This window comes from Homo sapiens, chromosome 1 (assembly GCF_000001405.40).
Source record: "Homo sapiens chromosome 1, GRCh38.p14 Primary Assembly".
In the NCBI taxonomy this organism is placed as follows: domain Eukaryota; kingdom Metazoa; phylum Chordata; class Mammalia; order Primates; family Hominidae; genus Homo; species Homo sapiens.
Window position 1 is genome coordinate 103,738,333 of NC_000001.11, and position 21,242 is coordinate 103,759,574.

Genomic DNA, 21,242 nt, shown 5'->3' on the forward strand with positions numbered 1-21,242 from the left:
CAGTCAGTGATGAGATGTTCATACATTTAGGAGAATGATTATAAAAGAGGGATATGGAAAGTAATCTGGGTTAAGGAGTGAAGTGAGAAAATAAAGAAGGTTGAGACAGTGGAAAATGGTATCATCAATTGTAGATTGCAGTGTGGTTGACGATGCAATGGAGTTCTCGAGGTAGGAACTAGAAATTTGGGAGATTTAGATAAGAGTGGGTTGATTGAAATTGGAAGTATTAGAGGATAATAGTATATAATAGTACTAAGTATAGTATACTAAGTATAGTAGCATAGTGCTAAGTATATACTATCTTGTGAGTATAAGTTTTAGGATGTGAAGATGGGGGTAGCATAGAGGCAAAGTGATGGAAGGAGATGAGTTAAAGGAATTGAGAACCTAGGAGACTGAAAGGATTATCTAAATGAATTTTGAAATCTCAACAAGAGCTGTGCTGAGTGCTTGTAGTCATTATTTTATGTTTACTACTCTGTGAGAAGACAGCACTTCCTTTTGTGAGTAATGGAAAGTTCTTTCATGTGTCAATTGTAAGATACTTTATTAGGTTCAATTATCTTTAGTAATGCATACTAAAAAATAGTGAGCTCAGTGGGATTATTCAGTAGATATGTGAGCTAACCCCCTCTGTCAGACACCTAAGAGGTAGAACTGATGGTCTTCAAGAGGAATAGAGACTTCTCATCCTAAGTGTGTAAGCTGTGAAATATCCCACCCTATGTTTTCTGAAAACAAACGTTATATAGAGTGTCCACATAAAAGCTAACAGGAAATCTCACACACACACAGACACACACACACACACACACACACACAAAACATTGAAAAACTTCAGGAAAGATATACCCTGTACCCAACATGAACGAGGTCAAAGCAATGAAGAAAAAGCTAGGAAATCAAATAAGTCTAGAACAACTGTGACTAATATATAAAGATTTGAGGTGGTTATATCCATTTAAATGGTATCAATTAGAAAGGAAAAAAAGAGGCCAGGCACAGTGGCTCATTTCTGTAACGCCAGTACTTTGGGAGGCCAACACAGGCAAATCAACCTGTGGTCAGGGGTTAGAGACAAGCCTGGCCAACACGGTGAGACCCCGTCTCTACTAAAAATACAAAAATATTTGCTGGACTTGGTGTCGCGTGCCTGTGCTCCCAGCTGCTTGGGAGGCTGAGGCAGGAGAATTGTTTTGACCCAGAAGGGGAGATTGCAGTGAGCTGAGATTGCGCCATTGCATTCCAGCCTGGGTGATGGAGTAACATCCAAAAAAAGGTATTTTACATAAGAAATTTTATTTTATTTTTCTGTAAATTATAAAATAGCACTTAATATGGAATTTATATACCAGAATCTTTGAATATCCAAAATTTAAGATGAGAGCAATTTTGAGAAACTTTTCAAAGCTTAGGAAAAGGTAACTACATAAAACACCATTATGTGTTATTTATGGGTACATTAGATGAAGTAAGTCACAAAAACACGCATAGAAATGATCATATAAACTTGCAAGAAATTGAATGTCTTGCTATTGAAGGAAAGGTTGAGGTGTAAGAGATTGAGGTTGAGTGTGAGAAGCTCTGTATATATTGTATTTTTCTTAAAAATATATATTTAAACTCACATTTCTTGTTTTTCAAATGTTCACTCCAATGAAAATTCTTTTACTTTTCCTGTTAGAATTTTTATTTCCACTCTCACATATGCAGTGTACTATTGTTCAGAAATATTAGTGATCCTCCTTGCAAATGAATACTCCCATCCTGCTGATTTTCAGAAGGTCCAAGTGATTTGCTTTGGCTGTGAAATGTAAGCAGAAAGAGTGTTATTTTGGGGACTTCCCGATTGCAAAACAACATAGTATCGCAACTTTTGACATAGCATTTACGTTGCATTAGTCATTATAAGTAATCTGAGATGATGTAAAGGTTATATGGAAATACTACATTTTATATAAAGGACTCGAGTAGTTATTGCTTTAAGTATCCATGGTGGGTCCTGGAACCAATTCCTCATGGATATGGAGGCACAAGGAACCACTGTAGTTAAACAAATAATCACTTTAAAACTTAAAACCTTTTGCATGGTGAGTACAGTCATGCACCGCATATATGATGGTGGTATAGTTAAGTTTATTATGCCATACATTTATTGGAAGTTTCCTATGTTTAAATGTATTGAGATACACAGCTACACTGCTTTACAGTTGCCTATAGTATTCAGTAAAATAACATGCTTTACAGGTTTGTAGCCTAGGAGGAATAGGCTATGCAATCTAGGTTAATGAAGTCCATTCTGTGATATTTGCACAGTGGCTTAATTACCTAAGGGCTTTGTCTTCAGAACATACTCCTGTCATTAAGGAATGCATGAGTGTAGTTGGACAAAAAATAATAATGCAGGCATACCTTTGGCACTGTCCTAATTCTTACCAACATCCATGATTGCTTAAATTTGCACTGGAAAGACTTCAAAAAACAGTGATATATTAGGACAGTATATTTCCAATACATGACAAATGATAACAACATAAGAACTCAAAACATTCAATAAGAAAGAACATAACAATTAAAGCAAAACTAGATGGGAAAAGGAAGAAGCAAATTTCAAGAGAAAACTCAAAAGGCCAAAAAGTGTGAAATGATGTTCAGCCTTGCTAGTAATTGGGAAAAACACAAATCTCTTTTTTTTTTTTTTTTTTTTTTTGAGAGGGAGTCACCCTCTGTCGCCAACACTGGAGTGCATTGGGGCGATCTGGGCTCACTGCAAGCTCTGCCTCCCAAGTTCACACCGCCATTCTCCTGCCTCAGCCTCCAAAGTAGCTGGGACTACAGGGGCCCGCCACCATGCCTGGTTAATTTTTTGTGTTTTTCGTAGAGACAGGGTTTCACCATGTTAGCCAGGATGGTCTCCATCTCCTGACCTCGTGATCTGCCTGCCTCAACTTCCCAATGTTCTGGGATTACAGCTGTGAGCCACCGTGTCTGGCCCAAATCATTTTTAATCTATTAGGCAAAAATTAGAGCTATGATAATATTCATTTTTGGTGGGAGTGTGGCAAAAGGTACTATAACAGAATGCTACTAGAGAGTAAACTTTGATACATTTGTAAGGGCAATTTTGCATAATATGAAAATTTAAAAATATGCTTCCAGTTTCACATACGTTTATCTAGCATACAGAATTACCCATGTGTAAACATGTATACAGATGTTCATTATAACACTTCTTATAAAAACAAAATATTTGCAAATATTCATATGAACAAGTGCATACATATGATCTTAGTCCAGTTAGAATTTTCTGTTTTATTTCAATCCTTTAAAAGACTCAACTTCTGATTCTATATAAACAATTCAAAAAAGAATGTGTTTTCCCTATGTGCATTTGGTCAGGTAAATTAAAAAATACACCTCATGCTAGCCTCACAAAACTGGAATAAGCCTTGGGAAAGAAGTTGTCCTTGAAGCTTGTATCTGACATTGTAGCAGGACGAGCCGCAGAAAAAACCTCTCAGACACTGAGTTGTAGAAGGAAGGGCTTTATTCAGCTGGGAGCATTAGCCAGCTACTGTCTCTAAATCTGAGCTCCTGGAGTGCACAATTTCTGTCCTTTTTAAGGGCTCACAACACTAAAGATTTCACATGAAAGCTTTGTGATTGATTTGAGCAAGCGAGGTATACATGACAAGGACTACTTGCCCCGGTGGTCAGGGAGAAACAGAATATGGAAGAGAGTTTCACAATGTTCTTCTACACAATATCTGGAATCTGTGAATCACATCGGCTTCTAAATCATAAGTGGATGTTCAACTACTGGGTTTAGGCCAACCAGGCCCAGGTCTGTTTTTGGGCCTGGCGCCGGGCTGCCTGTCTTTGGTTTTATTTCCTTGTTGTTTTTACTGAATAGAAAACAATGTAAAACAAGAGGAGAGGGTCTTTCTCCTCTCTCATTTTCTTTCTTTGAGACTTTCACTCATTTTTATTAGTGGGAGCTGTCACTTTTATGATTTATGTTCTTCTGTGCAATAGATTGATAGCCATTTATATTGTATGCTTGTGCTGAAGGCTTTTGGTGAAATAAGGGAGAGACGAAGTTTTTTATGATTTGGAGAAACACAGGTATCAGACAAGGGAGCAGTAAGCAGGTTCCTATTACTATTATTACCTCTATTATAAGAGTTTTAAATCCTCCTATTGCTGGGAACTACTTTCTAAACATGGCTCCTGGATTGAGTCTGTGCCAGCCTTGCACGAGTACATGTGCCAGTTTTGTTATATCCTTAAGTATATGCTCAACTACTTGTTCTTTATCATCTATGTGTAGGCAACATGTTTCGTCAGATTCTCTCGCCAGGCAAGAACAGTCAAGGCTTGTTGGGTTTTATTAGTAATAATTTCTAAAGCAGCTTGTAACCATATGAGCATGTAGATAGGGGTTGGATATCCTCATGAGCCATCTTGTACTTAAGTGGCGGGTCCATAGTATTGTATGATTCTTTCAGGGGTGCATTCATCATCTTTCTAACCACTTATGGCTATGCTTCATTTTGCCTGGGAAGCATAGACTGGGAAGCCTACAAGTTCAACTGTTTTTATGGGCAGTAAGAAGAAAGATGGCTTCATGGTGCCAATTACACAGCCACACGCCCACTGGTCAGGCAGCTTAGCATAAGCTTTGTGTCTACATATCTAGCATAACCTAGTGGGGGCCGTCCAGTCCTGGTGGAATTCTGGATGGGCCTAAACAGTCTGCAACTTTGGAAATTTGCTGAATGCATTTCTTTCTGTGTAATTGGAACTGTACCATGTAACTGTTTTTGTGGCACCATTATACAGGTTTTGCCTAAGACAAATAAGCCGCCTTACGGGATGAGTAAATCCTTTTCTTTCTCTAGCTACGCATTACTGTCTAATAATTGTGACTTTTAGAAACTAAAAATTGTCGGGGTTGTTCTTTTGGGATGGAATTCGTGAGGAACTCCATCTGTAGGAACTAATTCTTGGGCTTCTTATGGCCATTGATCTCCTGTTACAGTCCTTCCACAAACATCACATGAAATGACTTGTAGAGACTGGGCTACATGTTTGGCTAATTGCAAAAACAAATTTTTAGTTTTTTTCAGAAATTTCAGGTATAGGCACATTGAATTCATCATAGAAAGTGTGAAATACTTGTCCTGGTGAGCGTTTTTGAACTTCTTCTTTTATCAGGATGCTTACACTAGAATCTAGTCCTTTTCTATCAATGCCTAATGTTATATATTTTCTTTTATTCCACTTTGGATCTGAGGGGTTTGTGATGATCAATTTTAAAGGGTTGCAGCTCCCACTTGTGCAAGAGGGGCTGACTTTTCTTTTTTGGAGCCAAACAGGATCTTTTTTATCTTTCTTCTAAGTAGCCTAACTGACGCAATACCACTATTGACACATCGAACATAAATATGGTTCTTGACAGATGTACTTATTTTCTGTGTGTAATTTTTCCCAAATTTAGAGAAATGCATCTTATCCTCTGCTGTTTAGTATTAATAGTGGCACGAGCATCAAATTTTAAAGTTACATTTGTGGGGACTCTTCTTTCTTCTGTTCTAGCTATCACTTTACTTGTGTTACTTAGAGAAGGACCAGTTCTTAGTCTTACTTCGAAGACTGTGATCATGGGGGTTTAGAGGGGTCATAGCACACATCGGGCTGGTCACTTCCTGGATTACATACTTAGTACTGGGTGTTATTATACAAACAGGTTCTGTTTGGAGTTCTTAGGCATTCATAATAGCTGTAAAATAAAACGATCATCTTAACTTGTCCTTCTTCAGTGTCCTGATGTATGCACTGAAGGCAGTCCTCTGTGTGGGAAGAGGTAGTGGAAGCTTTTACCACACAGGTCCATGTTATAAGGACAATAAGTCCTACGACGATTTTCCTCATGCTTTGGCCATGTGTAGTCTAGTCAGCTTCGTGGTGTGATTGGAGCAGGGCTTGTCATTTTCTTCAAGGTCACTTTTCAGGGATTGTCCAAGTTTGGTTTGGCCTCCTAGGTCTCAGCGGCTGCAGGCTTCATGAGGCTGTGGTGAATCTAGGCTGGGATTCCTTCTACATTGACAGCTGTGGGAGTGGTCAGGTTAATTGTCTGGGGTCCTTTCCACTGTGGCCACAGCGGAGCCACGTTCCAGTCCTTGATCCACACAATGTCACCTGGAGAAAAAGGGTGAACTGGGGAGAATCAGCTGCCTGGGCACCTCTCATTTACTCAAGTTGAGATAGTCTGAGTAATTTTCCCTAAGGCCTGTAGCTGCCGCTGTAATGCAATCTCACCTAACTCTTGGGGAGTACCTGGAAGCCCTCCCAGTATGGGAGGAGGCCTATGATACAGAATTTCAAAGGGGGAGTATGCTGTTCTCTTAGAAGGGGTACACTTAATTTTAAACAATACTATAGGAAGGACTTGTGTCTATTTTAAATTTGTTTCTTGACATACTTTCCAGAAACTTTTTCTGATAGTTCGATTCATTTGCTGCACTTTCCGGAACTCTAAGGTTGGTAAACGGCATGTAACTTCTATGAAATTCTTAATACCTTTGCCGTCTTCTGTATCAAGTCAGCAACAAATGCTGGCCTATTATTTGAGCCAATTCGTAGAGGCAGTCCAAACCTAGGGATGAAATTTTGAAGAAGTACACAGGTTACTTCAGGAGCTTTTTCAGTTCATGTTGGATAAGCCTCCACCTACTTAGAGTAAGTACACACTAGAACCAGTAAATACTTGTTACTTCTACATTTAGGCATTTCTGTGAAGTCCACTTGAAGATCTTCAAAATGAGCTGCTCCAGAGGCTTCTATTCCCCGAGGTACAGAGGGGCCTTGCTTCGCATTGTGCTGTCCACAGGTAAGGCATCACTGCGCTACTGTTGTAGCAACAGCTGGCAAGGGTGAGATGTAGAAATACTGGCCTAACAGCTTTTCAAGTGATTCTTGGCCTCAATGGGTAGTTTCACATACAGTCAGCATGACTGTATAGCAGCGGTGGCACTGCTATTCTTCCATCTGGTAACTTTATGTATCTTTCCTTTATTGTTTGTCCTCTCTCTGTCTGAAAAAATTCTTTTTCCTCTTTAGAATAAGTTGGCACCAGATCAAGCATTTGAAGGAGTAGCAGGGCTGTGACTGATGTCTGGTAAGGAGTAGATGCTGCTTTTCCTGCCTCTGTGTCTGCTCAGGGCTTTCCTTGGCAAACCGAAGCGGAAACTCGCTGATATCCCCTGCAATGCATGAATGCCACCTTTTGGGGTTTCTACACTGCTTCTAATCATTGTAGAATTTCTTGCTGACATTTTATGTCTTTTCCTCTAGAATTTTTTCCTTATACAATGCTCCACATACTTGAAGGGTTAGAAAGGCATATCAAGAATCAGTATAGATGTTTACAATCTTAGGTTCACTGAGTTCCAGAGCCCGAGTTAGAGGAATGAGTTCTGCTTTTTGGGCTGAAGTGCTCTGAGGCAATGGCTTAGCTTCAACAACATCATCTAAGTTTACTACTGCATATCCTGCACACCTTTCTCTTTGCGGGTTGATGAAGCTGCTTCTGTCCATGTAGAACTCCTAATCTACCAATGCCTATGGCTGGTCTCAAAGATCTGGTCTGCTAGAATAGACATAGTCCAACACCTCTACACAGTTATGTTTAACAGGGCTGTCTGATACTGGGAGCAAAGTGGCAGGATTTAAAGAATTACAGACTTCTATGGTTATACATTGATTTTCACATAACAAGCTTTGGTGTTTAGTTAATGTAGCATTTGTTAGCCAATGGTGTCTTTTGGTGTTCCTTAGAGTTACATTAGAGTCAGCTTGGGCTGACATAAGTTTTTCTTTTAACTTATAAGTCTTGTTGTTGTAGAGACCTCTATTTAAAAGGCTCTCGGTCACCCCCTTTATAACTCCATTCAATGCTTTGGCTAACACCACAAAGTTTGGAATCTGCAGTCTGCAAAAATCTCACAGCTCCTAAATGTTCTCTTATTTGCCTCCTGGTTTTAGGTTCTGGTAAGCTGCAGATGACCTGCTTTCTTGCTGACCATAGACTGCACTCCCCTTTTCAAATAGTGAATCCTAGGTAGTGTACCTGCTGTCTGCAGATCTGAGCTTTCTTTTTGGGCACTTTATATCCACAGTCCTCCAGGTGTCGAAGCAGGGCACCCGTCCTTTTTGCACACCTGACTGCCATGGAGTGTCCTAGCAGAAGGTCATCTACATACTGGAGCAGGATGCAACCTAGGTCTTTAGCAGGAAACATTTGGAGGTCTCCAACCGAGGCCTCCCGAAAGATGGTGGGGGACTTTTTGAACCTTTGGGAAAGTCGAGTCTAAGTGTACTGAATGGTGACATCTGACTCCGGATCTTCCTACTGAAAGGCAAACAGCTTTTGGCTCTCAGGAACTAGCCTGATGTGAAGAAGGCATCTTTCAAGTCCTGTACGGGTCGATAGTCTTTGGTCCTTGGTTTAGGGACAGGTAGGAGGTGGGTGTTCCATGGAGACTGGCAAGGAACTAGAATTCCAGAGGCTTTTAAGCATATAAGATGAGTCTCTATTCCTTTAAAGGCTTCCCTGGGAACAGGATACGGCTTTTGTCCAATTGGCTAGGTCGTAGGCTAAACTTCTATGAGTACGGGGGCTTGATTGATTGCCAGCCTCAGAGGATTGTCCTCCATCTCTACTCAGAGCCGTCACTCAGCTGGAGCCACTTTTATTTCCTGAGCTGGCTCAGTTAGCAAAAGTCTCCACTCTTCTTCCTGGGGGACTGGAAGGGCCATGATGACTCCTGTTTCTGGCAACTCCAGCTGTAAAGTGCCTTGTTTTGTCAAGGAAATGGTGGCTCTTAACTTGCTAAGCAAGTCTCTTCTCAACAAAGGCAAGGGACAGTCAGACATATACAGAAATGGATAAATCACTTTGTGTCCTCCCACTGAGCAGTTGCGCGGTAGACAGAAGTCCTGCTTGGTAGAGACTCCTGTTGCTCTAATTCTATCAATCGTCTTTATAGATGAGGGGGCCACTGGAGTGCTTACTACTGAGTGTTCGGCTCTTGTATCCACTAAAAACTTAATGTCTTTGCCCCTTATTGTCATCCTGACCATGGGCTCCTTGGGGGCATTTGAGCCTGTTCCCCTTAATTCTAGCAGCCCCTCAGCTAGATTGAACAAAATCCTTTCATCTTGGTTTGAGGTCTTTGGCTCTGCATCACTCTGATTTTCTTTGAGTTGGGGACATTTATCTTTCTAATGTCCTATTTCTTTACAGTAGGCACATTAGTCATGCTGCAAATGTGAGTGATTGGACAGGGCATTCCTCCCAGAACCCCCTTTTTTCTGCCTTTTCAGGAGAATTCCTCTAATTGTCACAGCCAGCAAACTAGCGTTTCACCTGGCCTGGCGTTCGCCCTCCTTACGGCTTTCTTGGCCGCTTGTTGCATCTCTATTTACAAATACTTCATTAGCTCTTTCCAGTAACTGCAAGGTTTTCATTCCTGCAAACCTAGCCTGTTTTTGCAATTTTCTCTGGATATCTTCTGCACTCTGAATAACTAAGGCCGTATTAATCAACGGCTGATTTTCAGGACTCTCCAGATCGAAAGGAGTGTACATGCAATAGGCCTCACACGGTCTTTGATAGAACTGGGCTGGGCTTTCCTCCTTTCCTTGGATGACTTCAGAAACTTTATTTACATTGGTACCCTTTTGAGCCCCTTTTTTCAACCTTTCAATTAATGCCTCTCGGTACCCTCTTAGCCTTTCCATATCTGGTCCTTCATTTGGATCCTATTGAGGGTCCGTTCCTGGCAGCTGAATTCTTATGTATTCTTGGGGACTTTGATAATTGGCTGGGATGTGCTCCTCCAGCCATTTAACTGTTGCCTGCAGCACCTGTTGCCTTTTATGTGTTTTAAAGAGGTACATGAGTAGCTGGTGGCAATCAGCCTAAGTAGGATTCTGAGTCTGGATAATTCTTTGAAGCAAGTCAATTAGGGCTTGAGGCTTTTCAGTGTAAGATGGAGTGTTATTTTTCCAGTTGAGTAGTTCAGCAGAGGTAAAAGGGTGATACACAAAAGCATGCCTTTCTACCGTATGTCTGACCTCATCTGTCCTAGTATATCGCTGCTCTCTCAGGGCATTTGAATTCCCGTCTTGGGCCGTTAAGCGGGCTGCCAGGGAAGTGGATTTTCCCGCAGTTTCACTTTTGTTCTTGTCTACTCTGGGTGGTCTAGGGGCTGTGGGCTCAGGAGAAGGGGGCCTCCCCACTGGATAAGGGGTTGAGGGCACTGTTGGTGCCATCTCCTGCCTTGAGTCCTCGAGCTCTGGGTCAAACAGAACTTTAGGTGCTGGCTTCTCTTGGCCGGTGGAGCGAGAACTTTCCTGAAATAAATGTCCCTTTGCTACTACTACTGCTGCTGCCTGTCCTTTTACCACTGTAGAGGATCTAAAACTAGCTGTAACTAGGAATCTCTATATGGAAATTGATATGGGTGCAGGCACACCATGAGCGATCAGGCCAAGCTTCCGCTCAGGTGGAGTGGGGCAAGTTGAAAAGACTTGTCTTACTAAGTTTCAGATGTCTGGACTCCAAGTGCCAGTTCCTTCCTGGTGTTCAGCCACTGTGTTAATCCTCCGCGGGGATCACTGCTCTGGCGAGGCGTTCAACCGGGGCCATTTCCTACCTGGGAGCGCTCTTTGGATCCCATCCCTCAGGCTGGCCAGAGTCCCTGGCAGCCTGAGGGATGCCCCGGCCTTACTCCACAAGGCATGCCTAATCTGCCTAAGGAGCTGCCTCGGCCGTCCATCAGTTATCTTGCTTCCAGGTCAGGGAACCAAGAAATGTAGCAGGACAAGCGGCAGACAAAACTCTCAGACACCGAGTTGTAGAAGGAAGGGTGTTATTCACCTGGGAGCATCGGATAGCTACTGTCTCAAAATCCGAGCTCCCCAAGTGCACAATTTCTGTCCCTTTTAAGGGCACACAGCACTAAAGATGTCACATGAAAGGGTCGTGATTGATTTGAACAAGCCAGGGATATGCGACAAGGACTACATGCACCCGTGGTCAGGGAGAAACAGAATATGGAAGGGAGTTTCACAATGTTCTTCTATACAATGTCTGGAATCTATGAATAACATCGGCTTCTAAATCATAAGTTGATTTGTAACTACTGGGTTTAGGCCAACCAGGCCCAGGCCTGGTTTTGTGCCTTTGATTTTGCTTCCTTGTTGTTTTTACTGAATAGAAAACAATATAAAACAAGAGGACAGGGTCTTTCTCTCTTCTCAATATCAGCACTGGATTGTAGAACTTGTTGCTGATTTTGGCCTGGCATTCAAGTTAACTCTTCCCCTTGGTATCTGTACATACCTTTGATGTCAGTGTTTAGTACACGTGGCTTGGTCACTTCATGGCTAAAAACGTGCTTGTGGAAGACAAGTCTGGCTTGGTGAGTCTGTGTGGTCAGCAGTCTCTGATCCGTGCAGGGTATTAATGTGTCAGGGCTGAGTGTTCTGAGATTTATCTAGAGGCTGGGAAGGGCTCCTGAACCAGTTGTTTCCGTCTTGTCGGTCTGTCAGGGTTGGAAAGTCCAAGCCATAGGACCCAGTTTCCTTTCTTAGCTTACGTTATCTACCAGAGCACCGTGGGCTGTTACTTGCCTTGAGTTGGAAGCGGTTCGCATTTATACCGGTAAATGTATTCATCCTTTTAATTTATGTAAAGTTTTTTAGTATGCAATTCTCGATCTTTTAAGAGTTGACAACAAATTTTGGTTTTCTGCTGTTATGTGAGAACATTAGGCCACAGCAACATGTCATTGTGTAAGGAAAAATAAAAGTGCTACCATATGCAAAAAAAAAAAAAAAAAGAAAAGAAAAGAAACATTAATGTCTAAGAGGTCATTGAGATGATTTCCATGAGAGACTTTTTGATGTTCTTCACCAGTTAGGATTATTATTGATAATCCTTTTCAGATTATGAATAAACAGTTTGCCCTCAAGTATTTATTCATGCTACTATTTACATTGTAAAATGTGCTTCTTACAGGAATATAAATAGTTTCTGGAAAGGACACTGACAACTTCAAAGCAAAATGAAGCTCTTTTGGTTGCTTTTCACCATTGGGTTCTGCTGGGCTCAGTATTCCTCAAATACACAACAAGGACGAACATCTATTGTTCATCTGTTTGAATGGCGATGGGTTGATATTGCTCTTGAATGTGAGCGATATTTAGCTCCCAAGGGATTTGGAGGGGTTCAGGTGGGTATGATTCATAGTATCAATTGCAGAATTCACTGTGCTTGTAGTAAACACTATTCTGATCTTCTACGTGAAGCTTGGGCAACATTTTACTTCACAGGTAAGTATTCTAAGTAAAAGAATTTTCTGAGGAAAAAACAATGTAGTATTCTTTGCAACTGTATATTTTGTTTCTGATATAATCTTTCTTCAACAAGAGCCCTCCGATGTGCTGTTAATATTTTCAAGAGATAGCTGCCTATACCAAGATTCAAGAATCTTTTGTATTATTGATTAGATTCTAGAACATTCAATGATATACAGTAAGACAGAATTTGGTACTTATGAAGACTGTTTAATTTGTAGGTCTCTCCACCAAATGAAAATGTTGCCATTCACAACCCTTTCAGACCTTGGTGGGAAAGATACCAACCAGTTAGCTATAAATTATGCACAAGATCTGGAAATGAAGATGAATTTAGAAACATGGTGACTAGATGCAACAATGTTGGGGTAAGTGAATTCTAGTTTCCTTTAAAAATAACAGATAGGAAAATGATTTCTGTCTCTTCTTTCTTGCTCCTTTTGAGCAGAAAGTTTTCCATATCAGTTTTAATTTTACTTCATACTTTAAAACTCAAAAGTAACTGTCACCTTATGTTCAATTTTTGAAAATATTTGTATATGTGCTCTCTACTAAAGAGATAAGTTAAAGTTTATAGCAGAGTTTACTTCTGAAGCAAAACATCAAATTTTAACCGCTATAACTATCCATATTTCCTGGAAGGATTTTCTGGTGAGGAATTTTAATTCCAGTTACAATATTTGCTCTCATTTTTAGATGACTTGTGTCTCCATTCCTAATTCTTGGGTTTTTTTTGTGGTGAATAGGTAGCTTATCTATTTAATGAGGAGCAGAATTTGAGATGAATAGCTACCTTATTTGTCTTCCAAGCTTAGTAGAGAGTACAGGCTTTCTCCTGGTGACCCACTGAAATTTCCCAAATAGTAACCTTTTCAGTCTCATCTGAGTTGTGTCTCCCCAAAATGGGCTTTTTGCCTTTCCTCCTATTTATGGTAGTTTCCGGTTCTCTCAGTTTATCATTCCTATATATATTTGGCCAAGTGTCTGGAATGAATGTAGGTGTTTAGTTCACATTACTTTCCTTTCACAGTTGATTTTTGATCTTGTAGGAAAATAGTTATAAGGTATGAAATATTTTGGAATTTTATTAGCACACTATAAATTTAATCAATAATTCTTTAAATTTCTGCCTCTCTGTAAGTCACACTGAATTAGAAACTTTGTTTTCTAGGTTCGTATTTATGTGGATGCTGTAATTAATCATATGTGTGGTAATGCTGTGAGTGCAGGAACAAGCAGTACCTGTGGAAGTTACTTCAACCCTGGAAGTAGGGACTTTCCAGCAGTCCCATATTCTGGATGGGATTTTAATGATGGTAAATGTAAAACTGGAAGTGGAGATATCGAGAACTATAATGATGCTACTCAGGTAATTTTTTTACGAGAGTGATCTGAATAAGGAGTGATATATGCCTTTTGTTGTAGACATGTAGCTAATTGAACTTCGTTGTAAATATGAATTTAGATCTCTTAGGGACAGAGGTTAACAAGTTTGACTACTTTAAGAAACTCAAATCCATATTTGAAAACCTTTAAATATTGATTTAAGATTTTTAATCAATACACATTTGTCCACTTTTAAAAAGCTCCCAACCAATTGAAAAACTCATCGACTTTATTTCCTAAGTTCTCTATTTTCTATTAGAAAATATTTCCAAGATACATCTATAGTAGAATGTGAGCATCCCCAGTGTCCAATGCAAGGAAGTCACCATAGAATATCTCTTGAGGAATCATGGAATAAATGAATAATCAAATGGATTCTCAGGCGAAAAGTGAGGTTTTATTAATCAATCATAACATTCTTACCTCAACAGGTCAGAGATTGTCGTCTGTCTGGTCTTCTCGATCTTGCACTGGGGAAGGATTATGTGCGTTCTAAGATTGCCGAATATATGAACCATCTCATTGACATTGGTGTTGCAGGGTTCAGAATTGATGCTTCCAAGCACATGTGGCCTGGAGACATAAAGGCAATTTTGGACAAACTGCATAATCTAAACAGTAACTGGTTCCCGGAAGGTAGTAAACCTTTCATTTACCAGGAGGTACGTCAATACATATAGGCATATAAAATATCATCCTATTCATTAGAAAATTCACGGCAGATTCAATTAAAAATGCAATTTCTGTAGGATAAAGACTGAGTCATTTCCTTAAAACAGTGTTCTTTAACCTCCTCTTCTTCACATACAGCATATCTAATTCTTTATCACAACAGGTTTTATGGAGGTACACAGAATGTAGGATACTGATAATAGTTATGTCTTTATTTTCTTTGGAAAATGAAATGAGTTAATATTTATCAAAAAAAGTCAGTCAGATAGTAAATATCGTATTCCTGTGAGCTGTTATTATTATCATTGATGTACAAGACTAAAAATTAGGTAAGTATTCTCACAGGACAACAGGTAACTTTGACATTATGTTTCTTTCAATATTGTAGTGTATACTTTATCAAAAAAAGAATATAAGAATATTACCGATGAAGATAATAAGAATAAGAAAACGATTTTGAGCGTTTCATATAACAAATAGGACCAGGCGTGGTGGCTCTTGCATGTAACTCAGCACTTTGGGAGGCTGAGGCAGGAGAATTCCTTGAGGCCTGGAGTTTGGGACCATCCTGGACGATATAGCAAGACCCTGTCTCTAAAGAACAAAGCACAACAAGTCTAAAATAACTCAGAAATAGCTGAAAGCTAATTTTTATATAATATAAACTTATCGGTTAAAATGCTTTAAAGTCCTTATGCAAAATGTTTTTTTTTCCTAAATTTCTTCTAGGTAATTGATCTGGGTGGTGAGCCAATTAAAAGCAGTGACTACTTTGGTAATGGCCGGGTGACAGAATTCAAGTATGGTGCAAAACTCGGCACAGTTATTCGCAAGTGGAATGGAGAGAAGATGTCTTACTTAAAGTAAATAAATACAACTTTTCCCCTGAACTATTTCATAGATCTGTTAGTCATACTACCCCAGTGCGAGTTATCTTCTGGAACATTCTTATTCAGACAACTATTAAGGAGTCAGTTGTTAATGATAAGTATTCTAGTGCCCTAAACTCTAATCAATCATCTTTTGTATTTAGAGTGTCTGTCACAAGACAGTATGCCTAGGAACGCTAAACTTACCCTAGGAGTTTCTGTCTGCGTACAAGATGAATATACTGGATTTGACTGATGTTTGCATATAATCTTTTAAAGCCAGGTTATTATTAAAATGATCCTATCATTTATAAAGTATGTACAAAGTGTCCATGCTATTGTATTTACTTATACGAATTGGAAATGTAAAATGATTTATATTATAACAATACAATATTAAAGCCTTATTTTAATCTAGTTTGACATTCTGTATAATGTGATGTGGATATTGATCCTTCTGGAGTGCCTCTAAATGATAATGTGCTGAAACCTCTGAAAGGAAATTTTTTAATAACAAACATTTTATATTTGTAATATGAATATAAGTATTCCATACATGTATATACAAATATGGACTATATATATGTAGATTACACACGTGTGTTTGTTTATGAGGTGTGTGTGTATATATATGTGAGTGTGTGTTTGTGTGTGTGTGTGTATATATATATATCTTACAGAGTAACCATCTAATTAGAGAAAGAATTTAATCTTCAGATGCCATGCCTTACAGAAAGAGATGCACAGTAGAGTTACTCTCAAACTATTGTGAAATGATACATCAACGTATATCTTATGTTTCAAAAATAGGAACTGGGGAGAAGGTTGGGGTTTCATGCCTTCTGACAGAGCGCTTGTCTTTGTGGATAACCATGACAATCAACGAGGACATGGCGCTGGAGGAGCCTCTATACTTACCTTCTGGGATGCTAGGTAGAAAACCAAGTTCTCTATTTTTTAACACCTCTTTTAATGATGGTATGAATATTGTGATATTCTATGATAATATAATTATGTAACTTTCAGGCTGTACAAAATGGCAGTTGGATTTATGCTTGCTCATCCTTATGGATTTACACGAGTAATGTCAAGCTACCGTTGGCCAAGATATTTTGAAAATGGAAAAGTAAGTTTTGGAGTTGTTCAAAATATCCTTTTCTCAAGAAAAAAGAGGCAATCTTCTCCTAATTTAATATGACAACTATTAAGTGTTTATTTATTCAACAAATATTTAATTATTGTAAACCTGATACAGGGTTGTGATTTAGTAATGCAGGTTATATTAAAGGAATAAACTTTATATTCTCCATTGAAAAAGAATAGCAAGCTTTTTCAGAGATATGACAAACATCCCCCTAGCCCGCAGGGAAAATAAAAATAAAAATTAAAAAAACCACTTAAAAATAAGAGCTAGGCACAGGGATTAAAATATATACTTCGTACCTTCCTCAGGTTTAATTGGAAGAATATAGATGCCAACCCTTGTAGAGAACTTAAAACATCATCTGCCCGTAGTGAGAACAATATAAATGTCTTTTAAATACTGTTAAAAAGTTATATGGTATAGAAACAAATGATCCAGTTCAGCTGAGTTAAATAGGGAAAGTATACTATAAGAGGAAGGAAATTGTATGTACTAAAGGATAGAAATTTATAGAGAGTATTCCAAGAAAGGTAAGAATGAGAAAAATATTTGGGAGTATGGTAAAGACATCACTCTGCTGAGTAGTTTCAAAAAGGAACAGAGAAATAAGAGTGTAAAGATATTTGGAAAGCTAGTAGAAGGTTTTCTTTTAAACTAAAGGGTTGAGAAACAGCATCAGAGACTTCAGAACTAAAGCAGAAATTCCTCCTTCCTATGAGTCACACAGATATCTAGCTAGCTTTTTTTAGATTCCTTTCAGTTTGAGAAGTCCGCTACTATGTATAACAACTGATTCTATTGTTAAACAGCTTTAATATTTAGAAGGTGTACTTTTATATTGAGACAACTTCTTATAATTTCTACTAATTGGTCTTATTTCTGTTGTTAGGAGTCAGAGAGTTCTTTTATTTTTTCTATTACTATAACATTCCCACTTTGACAGGACTGCTGCATGCTATAAACTCTTAAGTTTTGTTCACTTTTCACCATATGACGTGATTTTAAGGTGAACACTGATAAACTTCCTAGGGTTACTCTGTGTTTTTTAATGAAGATTTCTTAAAGTGCCAATCAGAAAAGCATAATACTAAAAATATGGTCAATTTATAAAAAAAAATGTTCAGATGTAGTATTTTGTACATTTATCTAAAAAGAAGCATGACGGCCTCCAATATTTATTTAGCATATGTCATGTTCAAGGCATTTTCACATATATTACTTAATTTTTATAGCAAAAGAACTCATTATTCTCATTTTACAAATGAGGAAACTGAGACACAGAGAAATTATTTATATTGATTAAATTTTCTCAGCTACTAGTAATAGAGCCTATGTTTTAATCCTGGTGTTTCTAGTACTAATGCCCTTCCCATTTCAATGCCATTGCATGGCTTACAGTGATGTTAAGAAGCCCTTGCAGGCCAGGTGCAGTGGCTCACACCTATAATCCCAGCACTGTGTGCGGCCAGCTGAGAAGGTCAGCTGACCTGAGGAGTTCAAGACCTATCTGGGCAAGCTAGCAAGACCTTGCCTCTACTGAAAATTAAAAAAAAAAAAAAAATTAGCTGGGTGCGGTGGTGCACACCAACAGTCTTAGCTACTTGGGAGGCTGAGATGGGAGGTTCGCTTGAGCCTCGGAGATCAAGGCTGCAGTGAGCTACGATCATGCCACTGTACTCCAGCCTGGGTGACAGAGCAAAGAAGTCTTTGCAGTGCCTTGGAATGAAAAGGAGAGGATAACAATTTGCTACCTTTGTTTGAAATATGGCAAAAGAGAACCAGAGGATAGAGAGATGATGAAGACCCAGTAAAGGGCTATAAAAATCAATGAAGGCATTGGATTCTAGATAAAGTCACTGAATGCAGAGACACAAGTAACAGGATAGGTTGGGTTTGGTTTAAAGGAGAAGGAAGAGATAAATATATATATGCTAAAATTTGGCTTTTCCTCCTGTAATTAAGGATGTTAATGATTGGGTTGGGCCACCAAATGATAATGGAGTAACTAAAGAAGTTACTATTAATCCAGACACTACTTGTGGCAATGACTGGGTCTGTGAACATCGATGGCGCCAAATAAGGTGAGAATATGTATTTAGACATGTCCTCTAATAGTAAATTTCCGTAGCACTTTATTTAAAACAGTTGAAGTTTAAGAATATCAACGTTTTATATGGTATTGTGTTTTTAGGAACATGGTTAATTTCCGCAATGTAGTGGATGGCCAGCCTTTTACAAACTGGTATGATAATGGGAGCAACCAAGTGGCTTTTGGGAGAGGAAACAGAGGATTCATTGTTTTCAACAATGATGACTGGTAAGTAAATATCAATTAAAAATAATATTTTGTACCAGTATGTTCTTGGTTTATTCTTTTTTTTTTCTGTTCATTGACATTTATCATATCTGAAAAATCATGTAGTCAGTGGAGCGAGAAGACAATAGAGATCAAAATTGGGTAGAAGCAAAAGGATGATGGCTGTTACTCCTTCGTTCTCCTGTTTTCATAAGGGCTTTCTGTTGTAAGCAGAATCCTTTCTGTGCACCCTTGCAATATCTTATGCATATATAGAATGCACATTCATATGCTTACCTACACATGCCACAAAATACACAAAGTAATTAATAGAAGGATTGTGAAATCATTAAAAGAACGTTTCTTATAGTCCTGCTCTTTTAATCATGGAAAAATGCTGCCTCAGTACTAAAATATCTTTATTTCTCTTTTTCTCAATGACAGCTCTACCTAGTTTTTTGGTATACTTTCTTCACTTCTCTGTCTCCTTGTGACAAATAACATTTTTAAAGCATATGGATAAATAATATGTATCTTGTGGTTAATGATTTGCTTCAGGAGACTTGAGTTTTAGTTCTGAAACTTCTCATTATTGGCCTTTCATCTGTGATTTTTGTATCCTTTGGCTGTAGTATAAATGATTCCCGAAACTGTAGCTGAGAAGACCTCCTTGCAAACAGTTGAATTGTCTCTGTCCAAGGCCAACTGACACTCATACTTAGCTCACTCTAGTATAAATTATACTTCACTTATGAAAAATAAATAAATACAAAAATATATAAGTCAAGTTGATCTCTTTCCTGCCAAAAAAATGCGTGTCTATTTCCTTAGTTTCCTTCTTTTGTGGATGAAAATACCAAAAAAATCTTTTGTGAAAAAGCTTTATATTTCAAACTATCACTTCCTCATACAAATGCTAGATTGTTTTTATGTACACCCTAAATTCTTTTTGACCTCATGTAGAATAAAAGAAGGTTAAAAAAATAATACCCTTTAAATTTTTAAAGTAATTGGCATTAAGTTCAGTTGAGAAAAAATTTGATTTTACCAAGGTAGCACTTTATCAAAATGTGACCGCTCCCGCCAATCTTCGGTGATATTCTTCAACTTTGATTTTTCGGTTATATTTTCACTACTGAAAAGGAAATTGGTAGGTTTTCTGTAAGGTTACTTTTGGTCCTAGAAAGCTGTTTACACCTACTAGGGAGGCATATGGGTTTTCTTCTTAATGAGACTTCACTGCTTAGGGTTCTAAAACATAAAGTTATGCTGTTTATTTGTGTTAGTCTGTATTCTTGATTTCATTGTTTTGAAGTTAAATCTGAAATTTTATTTTACAGGACATTTTCTTTAACTTTGCAAACTGGTCTTCCTGCTGGCACATACTGTGATGTCATTTCTGGAGATAAAATTAATGGCAACTGCACAGGCATTAAAATCTACGTTTCTGATGATGGCAAAGCTCATTTTTCTATTAGTAACTCTGCTGAAGATCCATTTATTGCAATTCATGCTGAATCTAAATTGTAAAATTTAAAATTAAATGCAAATCCGCAAAGCAATAGCTAAGTGTGTTTCTTTTCTTACATATACAGTAATAGTTACATATCATTAATTTTAAATAAAAGCTCTAATTAGTAAAAAGAGGTTTAAGACACTTGATAGTATGAAATACAATTCCAGGTTACACATAAGTTATTTATTTTGGCAAAAGGATGACTCAAAAATTTTAAAACTAGGCAACAATCTTTACTCATTAAGAGGTAAGACTTAGCTTTCCAAACAGTTTGTCTCCTGTCTACTCTTTTCTCTCCTTGGCATTCTACCAACAAGGCAAACCAAATATTTCATTATTCTTCTCTATTACATGAAAAATCTGTACAAGGGAAGGAAAGCCAAATTTTACCCTTACATAGGTTTCAAAAGAATCCTTTTTCCATAGGCAACATTTACATTTTTATGCCTTTTTATAATCTTTTACCACAAACACATTTAAGTGTTCCTACACACCTTGCATGTAAATTTATTTTTAGTTGTCTTATTTACATATTTTTATGGTCAATCTTAGCAATTTTTAACTTTAATGTAAACCTGGTAAGTTGTTTTAATTATGTACTAGATGCAGATAAAGTCTGACTTTTTCCATTCTAGTTAGGGCATGGTTAATTTCATATGTCCCCAGGCCTTACCAAGTTGTAAAGTAGGCAGCCTACAACCTTGAAATATTTAGCAAGCCTTTTATCTAATTTATGTGATTTAAACCTGCTATTTACATATTGATGATATTTGCATTTTCCAATTTGATCTTTAAAACAGTTTTTATTTCTTAGAGTTTAAAAACACATAAACTAAAAGGCATTACGGTTTTAACTTTCCTCTAAAATATTTGATTTAAGTGCTTATTTTTATTTAAGGCAATCAATTGGTCCTCGTTACAGACATCACA

At 38.1% G+C, this 21,242-nt stretch overlaps 1 protein-coding gene across 2 annotated transcripts; it reads left to right on the forward strand.

The window, feature by feature from the left end:
• The first annotated feature begins 11,321 nt into the window (after nucleotides 1-11,321).
• On the forward strand, nucleotides 11,322-20,360 carry AMY1C (amylase alpha 1C). Of its 2 annotated transcripts, none has more exons than NM_001346780.1 (11): nucleotides 11,322-11,492; nucleotides 12,092-12,305; nucleotides 12,651-12,797; nucleotides 13,601-13,798; nucleotides 14,247-14,477; nucleotides 15,217-15,350; nucleotides 16,167-16,289; nucleotides 16,383-16,482; nucleotides 18,463-18,581; nucleotides 18,692-18,817; nucleotides 20,137-20,360. In NM_001346780.1, exons 2-11 carry the CDS (start codon nucleotides 12,138-12,140, stop codon nucleotides 20,324-20,326), a joined length of 1,536 nt encoding a protein of 511 aa, NP_001333709.1. In that variant the 5' UTR covers nucleotides 11,322-11,492; nucleotides 12,092-12,137; the 3' UTR covers nucleotides 20,327-20,360. The 2 variants fall into 2 exon arrangements, with proteins under 2 accessions (NP_001333709.1, NP_001008220.1); NM_001008219.3 differs by lacking the exon at nucleotides 11,322-11,492 and adding an exon at nucleotides 11,566-11,734.
• Nucleotides 20,361-21,242: the final 882 nt, after the last annotated feature.